Source organism: Homo sapiens, chromosome X, assembly GCF_000001405.40.
Source record: "Homo sapiens chromosome X, GRCh38.p14 Primary Assembly".
Classification (NCBI taxonomy): Eukaryota; Metazoa; Chordata; class Mammalia; order Primates; family Hominidae; genus Homo; species Homo sapiens.
In genome coordinates, this window is record NC_000023.11 from 42,999,892 (window position 1) to 43,008,279 (window position 8,388).

At 37.0% G+C, this 8,388-nt stretch overlaps 1 pseudogene, besides 1 other annotated feature; it reads left to right on the plus strand.

Annotated features, from left to right (window-relative positions):
* The first annotated feature begins 200 nt into the window (after window positions 1-200).
* On the plus strand, window positions 201-496 carry SMIM15P1 (SMIM15 pseudogene 1; annotated as a pseudogene).
* Window positions 7,074-7,923: an enhancer, noted in NCBI's record as "OCT4-NANOG hESC enhancer chrX:42866214-42867063 (GRCh37/hg19 assembly coordinates)". NCBI's record gives its function as "activates a minimal SCP1, AML or CMV promoter by ChIP-STARR-seq in naive and primed H9 embryonic stem cells {active_cell/tissue: H9 hESC(naive and primed)}" and the evidence as "EXISTENCE:reporter gene assay evidence [ECO:0000049][PMID:30033119]".

An 8,388-nucleotide genomic window follows, 5' to 3' on the forward strand; every position in this document is an offset into this window, starting at 1 on the left:
TTTGGTGCTGGCAGAACAAGTTGTAGTGTGTCACCCCCACATTTCTGGGGATCTGTAAGTCCTACCTGGCTCATGGTGGGGTGAGGAACCCACACTTGCCAGGGCTGAAGGGCAGGAGTGAACATGGTCCCCTTAGAAATTTAAACCTTCTCTCAGAAGTGTACAGTAGAACTAAAGAATACAAACCACCAAGGGTAATCTAAAATTGTGATTGGCTCACTAATAATCCCAGGACAAAATGAGAGGTCATTAATCAAGAATAAGTGAAACTGCTATAAAGATGTTTGATATAAAAGCTTGGGCTGAATACGTTGTATAATGGGGCTGCAAAGGACCCATATGGTTTTCTTACAAAAGACATTTTGGCCTTTCCTCCACTGTTACTGGCAGGTGCTGTACTGTTTTGGAAATTGGCCAAGATGATTGAGGCCAGTGAAAGGAGCAAAAGAAGAAACAAAAACATCAAGAAAATATTGCAAAAGCTAAACAACCATAAAAGGACTGAAAAAATGTGCAGGCTCTACAATCAAAGGAAAATAATTTGGAAAATTATGCAGCCTTGGAAAGACCTATTAAGATTTCTTCTTTCGAGTTCATAACAGTCTTATTTAGCAAACAAAATCTGACCATATGGAAGAACTGTGTTAGTTCTAACCTATTACTATAGCAACTTCTAGGCTTGGGTATAGAAGTTTGTTGGTATCTATTGACAATTCTTGTAAATTAGCACTTATTATGGTACAAATTATTTATAACTGACTTAGTCATTTGCCATTTTGCAGCTTTGTACTGAAATGAAAATATCTTTTGGAGAAAAATGACTTTTGATTATGAACTCTATTCAAATAATGGTTTAAAATGGGGCCCTGTTCTGCGTAAAGAAAATTAAGAATGTTAAAAGTCAGGATTGTCTTCTCTGAGATGAAAAGTGTGCTTTGGCTTAAAAGAGATACAGTACATTAATCACATATCTTATTATTATTGCTTATTTCTTGGAATAGAATCATTTCTGGCTTTATCAAAGCAAAGTAATATTAATCAATAAGTACATCTAATTGATGCATTTTTCTGATTTTAGTCTTTCAGACAACTAGTAATTATCAAGACATTCTGCATTTTTAAAACATAATTTTATAAAAAATTCTTTTATTTTGACTGTGTAGAATTTTGCCTACTAGATATAACAGTTTTTGTACCTAAAAGCACTGCCATTTTTTTAGAGATAACTTGTTGAGAAAAGTGACATTATTATTTAAAGCTTGCAATAAATATGCCAAACGCTGTAGTAACTTGGAACCAGTTTATTCTTTTTTTTTTTTTTTTCTTTTTTGAGACAAGAGTCTCACTCTGTCACCCAGGCTGGAGTGCAGTGGCGTGATCTCGGCTTACTGCAAGCTCCATGTCCCAGGGTCACGCCATTTTCCTGCCTCAGCCTCCCGAGTAGCTGGGACCACAGGTGCCTGCCACCACGCCCGGCTATTTTTTTTTTTTTGTATTTTTAGTAGAGACGGGGTTTCACCGTGTTAGCCAGGATGGTCTCGATCTCCTGAACTCGTGATCCACCCACCTTGGCCTCCCAAAGTGCTGGGATTACAGGCGTGAGCCACCGCATTCAGCCAAGAACCAGTTTATTCGTATGCTAAGTACCACTGTGAAATAGAATGTACTATCCCATAATTTGCTGTTTATATAGATTCCACTTTCGGTTTTTTATCCCATTCTCTGTTTTAATTTATGTGGTAGTAATGTTCAATATTTTTTGATCGAATAGGTTCAAGGTGAGACTTAAGACTTCAAATGATGTTTCAAGAACTCTCAAAGAACTCTCAAAGAGTTAACAGTTAAGTCATACTTCATAAGTAGTAAAGAACGTCTTAAAATTTGGAAAATTTCATTGGGCATGGTAGTAATTGGGTAAGAATAAATTATTTAAAAATAAAAATGTGCAATTACTAGAAGAGCTAAAGCATGCTTTCTTTTTTTTTTTTTTTTTGAGACAGAATATCGATCTGTCACCAGGCTGGAGTGCAGTGGCACAATCTCAGCTCACTGCAACCTCCGCCTCCCAGGTTCAAGTGATTCCCCTGTCTAAGCCTCCCGAGTAGCTGGGACTACAGGCATGCGCCAACATGCCCAGCTAATTTTTGTATTTTTTGTAGAGGCGGGGTTTCACCATGTTGGCCAGGATGGTCTCGATCTCTTGACCTCGTGATCCACCTGCCTCAGCCTCCCAAAGTGCTGGGATTATAGGTGTGAGCCACCGCGCCTGGCCTAAAGCATGTTTCTTTTAGCTAAGTAGTGTAACTGGAGCTTCTTACTATTAAACCTGGCATTTATAAATACTTGGTCCAGTAATTTTATCCACTGTCAGTATTTAATAACTGGTTAATGTTTTATGCACCTCTGATAATTAATTTTAAGTTACAAACAATTGTCCAACAGCTCTAATTTTAAAATGAAACTACATATTAAAATAAATTTGATACTTTTTTATGAAGAGAAAAAAATTAGAAGAGAAACCTCTTAAAATGCCATAAATGTACATCTAGTAGTGAACAAGAAGTCATATTTAGACTTCAGGAGGATTTTTTATTAGCACACAAATATTATTTTTTAGAAAGACAATGTAACACTCTGAGCATTTTTCTCAGGGAATGCAGAAACAACCCCTGAATCCCAGAACACCCAAAATAAGTTGGCATTTCAGATTCCAGTGGCATGTGATGTTTACTAGTTGTGCCTGCTTCTAAACTTACAGGGGCTCAGAACAAGAAACTTGGACTAGACTCCCAGACACCTGGGTTGGTCATAAGGGTGGAGATTAGAGCCAGGCAATGATGTAGAGACATAGATTACAACCAGATTTTGAGCTAGCAAATACTTAAAGCCAATGTCCTTTAGTTTTTTTTTATTGAAAGTGAGACAGAAGTTGCTTTTCTATTAGTCAACTTTGTATCCCGCTTTATGTTGAAAATAAAGAATTTCATAAAGTTTAGCTTATTTTCAATTGTGTTATTCTACACTGTTCTCACTATAAATAGTTATCAAAAGTTAATCATACTAAGAACGTGACAACTGCATTCCTGAACTGGGGCCTTTGCACGAGCTTCCTATTCCCTCTGCCTGGTCCACTTCTTCCAGATGACTGCACAGCAAACTCCCTCACTGCTTTCAGTTCTATGCTGAAATGTCACTTCCTCAAAGTTTGAACTAAAATGTCTCATTCAATACTTGAATGTTCTATTTTTCTGGTTTCAGGTTGAGAAAATCATTGCATTTTTTAGGTCATGCTTTCCACTAGTTTTCTTTCGTGATTTTTAAAAAAATTTTCAGACAACTTTTGGGAAAGCATATTAAAGGGTTTAAAATTTAGATAATAAAATAGGTAATTTGTCTTCACTGAACAAAAACTATACCACAGTTACTATGTTTGCAGAATTGCAGCTGATTTTGCCTACCAAGCCATGTGACTTAGCTGAACAGGGACAACTTGTACCTGCTTGTCACGAAAATGCTGAAAATAATAATACTCTGACTTGGGCAAATAGTATTTCTTTCTTTCTTTTTTCTTTCTTTTTTTTTTTTTTTTTTTTTAGAGACAAGATCTCTCTCTGTTGCCCCGGCTGGAGTACAGTGGCATGATCATGGCTCACTACAGCCTCCGCCTCCTGGGCTCAAGCAATCTTCCTGCCTCTGCCTCCCAAGTAGCTGGGACCACAGGTGCACACCATCAGTCCCAGCTACTTTTTGTATTATTTGTAGAGACTGCGTCTCACTATGTTGCCCAAGCTGGTCTTGAATTCCTGGGCTCAAGCAATCCTCCTGCCTCAGCCTCCAAAAGTGCTGGGATTACAGGCATAAACCACCATGCTCGGCCTCAAGTAATATTTCTGCTTCTATCACTTATCTATTGCTGCATAATGAGACACCTGAAAAATTATTTAAAATTAGTAATTTTAAATAACAACAAAATATTATGTCTCACCGTTGTGTGTAAGTTTACAGGGAAATCCCTTTGTTAGTTTCACCTGAGCTCACTCATACAACCGTTGTCAGCTGGAGCATCAGTTGGGCTGCAAGGCCCAAGATCCCCACTCACATGTCTGGCAGTTGATTCTAATCATCAGCTGGGGCTCTGTGGTTCTCATCCTTAAATAGGATAGATAAACTTCCTTATGTGACAGTCTCATTGCAGCATTCAGGGAGAGCAATCATAGAAGTTGCAATGTCTCCTAAGGTCTAAGGCCTACAGTTATCACAGTGTCACTTTCATTTTTAGAAGAGAAACCTCTTAAAATGCTCTAAATATATATATCTAGTAGTGAACAGAAAGTCATATTTGGAGTTTTACTGGATTTTTTATTACAGCATATAAATATTATTGCTCAGAAAGACAATATAACACTGAAAATTTTTTCAAGATATGCAGAAACAACACCTGAATCGCAGATATCCCAGAGTAAGTTGGTATTTGAGATTCTAGTTGCACGTGATGCTGACTAGTTGTACCTGCTCCCAAACGTACAGGAGCTCAGAACAAGAGACTTGGAGTATCTGAGGAGTGGTGGGGGCAGATTATGAGAAGGTGAAGGGAGGAAATACATAATGAATAAAAGTTGCCTTGGTATGCAGATATGTCTTCAGGTGATTAAAAAAAGTTCTTTCAGAGTAGTTCTCCTCTTGGTACAGATGCGTTTATTAACGAAAATTTCCTTTACAAACAGGGAGTTTTACAGTTTGCAATTGAGGGGGACGTGGGAAGCTTTTCCCTCTTTGGCCGGTTCTCAACTTCTTTTAGCTCAAAGTAATCAATATGCCAAAGTGGTATAATTCGGAGTAGCATATCCTGATCTTCCTCAGTCATATTTTGGGACGGCATATCCTGAACCCCATCAATACTTTCTCTATAGTCCAGAAATTTTTCTCCAAGATATATATTTTAAATTCTCACTTGGTAGATAAGGGAGCATAGGGGAGAGTGGGATTGTTTTTTTCAGGGGAAAGTTAGCCCAAAATCCAAAATGTACAACCGATAAATCCACAGAACTCTTGTTGAAGGGCCCTGCCTGGGTGTCCTCTTGCCTCTCATTTAGTCCATGATGCAGAATTAGAAATGGGCTCCTTAGAAGCAGATTCAGAAAACTGCTAGTTAACACCAGCACATGGGCTTTAGGAATCCTAAAGAAGGCACCAAAGCATGAATAAGTAGACATGAGGAATTACACATTATAGGATTGGCATGTGTACAAAGGAGGGGGTAGGTGAAGGATGAGATAGTGAGTGAGTCCTGGGAGTTGCATGTTCAAGTAGCTGGAAGATGTTGGGCGATGCATCTAAGCTCTTACTGAGAGACAAATGCTCAGGATTTATCTTGCACAGTGATGAGCTCATTCCCATTTTTACCTCCTTCACTCCATAACCTGGCTTGTGCTTGTAAAACAATGTACTTTTCTCTTCCATGATAGAATATTGGGATGCATAATTTAATTATTTTACTCCTTCAAATGCTCCAATTTCACCCTTGGGGTAGAAGGAGGTAGACAAGGAGGGTAAGTTGTAGAAACCCCAGCAACTTTTTAATTTCACAGAAATTAGTTTTAGACAACGTTGTGTGGCCGAGGGATCAGAACAGCTCATTCTTGCAGATGGCTTGTTTACTGCTAGAAGAGACTTTCAAAAGGAGAGTGGACCTTGTGTGAAATCCAAGTTAGCTGAACCTACAGTAGGTTCCTTCACTCGAATAAAGTGACCTGATGCCATTGCTTATCACTGTCTCATATCTTGGTCAGATTGTTCTGCCCCTGATAGCCAGATGTTCTCGCCATGAGTTCCCTTTCACCCTTTCTCACCTTCCTTCTTTTTTCTTCATCTCACAATGACTTAAAATGGCTCCTCTCCCACTGAAACAAGCAATGACATTAAGAGCCACACTGTTGGCATCCACCACAGAACGTCCTGTGGAATTTGTCTAAACTGCTATTTACCTGGGCCCCAAGTAGGAGGGGTGCTGGTGAGATAACTTTCACTCCAATTTGCAATTTTGAATGACAAAAGTGGTCAAAGTACAGTGGGAGATTGTTCTGTCTCTCAGGATCTCTATTTTTTTGTGTGTTTGTTTGCTTTGTTCTGATATGAGTGGAAATGCCTCTAGTGTTTTCTTTTTACATAAAATATTGGTTTTAGAACTAAGGAGTGTGTGTGTGTATTTAATTTATATATGTAATTTAGTAATTTATTTATATGTTTACAGTGTATATGTAAATTAGTGCATAAATATTTACACATATTATAGCCTCATTTTGTATTATAGCTTTAAAATTTTGTCAATGGCTTTTCCAGCATCTGTAGAAATAACCAGATGTACAGTTATTTTTTGGCAATATATCAATCTGGTGTATGTTACTAATGAATTCCTTAATATTGACCCATATTCTTGGAATATGGTATATTATTTTCTTACTGTAATGTTGAATTTTGTTTGCTAATATTTTGTTATTTCTTAAAATTTACACTCAAGTGATATTGGTCTGTAGTTTGCATTCATGTACTGTCTTTATCAGGTTTTGCATCACAAAATTAATAAGGAAGTTTTTCCTTTACTCTCAATGCTCTGAAACAATATGTAGAACATTAGAACTATCTTATCTTTAAGTGTTTGTTAGAGTCTTCTTGGGAAAACATCTGGACACTGTTTTTCTGTAGGGCTATTTCTTAATGATATTCTCAATATTTTTATATGAAAATCGATCTGTTTAAGCTTTATAATTCTAGTAGGGTAAATTTGGTAATATGTATTTCCATACGACATTACCCATTTTATCTTAATTTTCAAATTCATTTCTATAGAGAAAAATCTCTTCTGCTTCAACAGTTCTTGTCATTTCTTAATTGGTATACTTGTACTTTATCCCTTCATTTCTTGGACAAGTTAGCTAGTGGTGTTTCTGCTTTTTTTTTTTAATAAAGTGATTTTGATTTATTAATGAGGTCTATTTTATTCTATTCTCAATCTCTGCTTTAACCTTTATAGTTTCCTTTCTCGTGCTCTCTTTTGGTTTACTTTGTTCTTTCCTAGCTCTTTTTTAAAAACTTATGAGTTTTCCTGCAATCACTGCTTTACATATATCTCTTAGATTCTGATACATACTGTTTTCATTGTCTTTATTCATATAAATTCTGTAATTTTTTTCACTCGCGTCCGTGTGAAAAGACCACCAAACAGGCTTTGTGTGAGCAACAAGGCTGTTTATTTCACCTGGGTGCAGGCGGGCTGAGTCCGAAAAGAGAGTCAGCGAAGGGAGATAGGGGTGGGGCCGTTTTATAAGATTTGGGTAGGTAAAGGAAAATTACAGTCAAAGGGGGGTTGTTCTCTGGCAGGCAGGAGTGGGGGTCACAAGGTGCTCAGTAGGGGAGCTTTTGAGCCAGGATGAGCCAGGAGAAGGAATTTCACAAGACAATGTCATCAATTAAGGCAGGAACAGGCCATTTTCACTTCTTTTGTTGTGGAATATCATCAGTTAAGGCAGGAACCGGCCATCTGGATGTGTACGTGCAGGTCACAGGGGATATGATGGCTTAGCTTGGGCTCAGAGGCCTGACAATTTTACTCTATGTTTCCCCTTCACCCAGGAGTTGTTTCATAGAAGGATTTTTCATTTCCAGGTGAAAGAGCTAATTTGTTTTATATGTTTGCTCGTTTGTTTTTGTCAATAATTTCCAGTTTTATTATATTGTGATCAGATATGTTATTTGAACTATTTCAACATAATGTACATTACTGATGTTTTCTTTGTGATCTAATGTAGGATTGGATTTTGAGAATGGATTAATAGGTGCTTGAGCAGAAGGCATGTGAGGATGTACAGCTCATATATGTTCATAAAATCTACTTTATTAATCAAGTTGTTTAGGTATTTTTTCTCCTTATTTTCTTTTTGTCCTTTTGATCTGTCTTGCACTGACAGTGTTATAGTAACATCTGTTATGATTACTGTGTTTTTATGTTTCCTTGAATATTCTGTAGTTTTTTTTCAAAAATATGGATACTGTCTACATTTAGTGCATAAATATTCACACACATTATGGCTCGCTCCACTTTGCAGTACAATGTTTAGCCACACACACAAAAATGTCCTTTTTGTCGTATTTAATGCTTTGGGGCTTAAATTAAACTTTGATGATATCCGTATCTCTATGCCTATGCTTCCTTTGTTTCCGTTTAGTATACCTTTCTCATTTGTTTATTTTGGCCCTTCTAAATTTCTTAATTATAGGTATGTATTGTGTCCATGGCATATTGTTGTGGTGTGTTTTGTGAGAAAATTAAAAATATTTTAAAAAATACATGAATGTATTAGTTATTAGGGAGAAAAGTAATATATTTTTCTT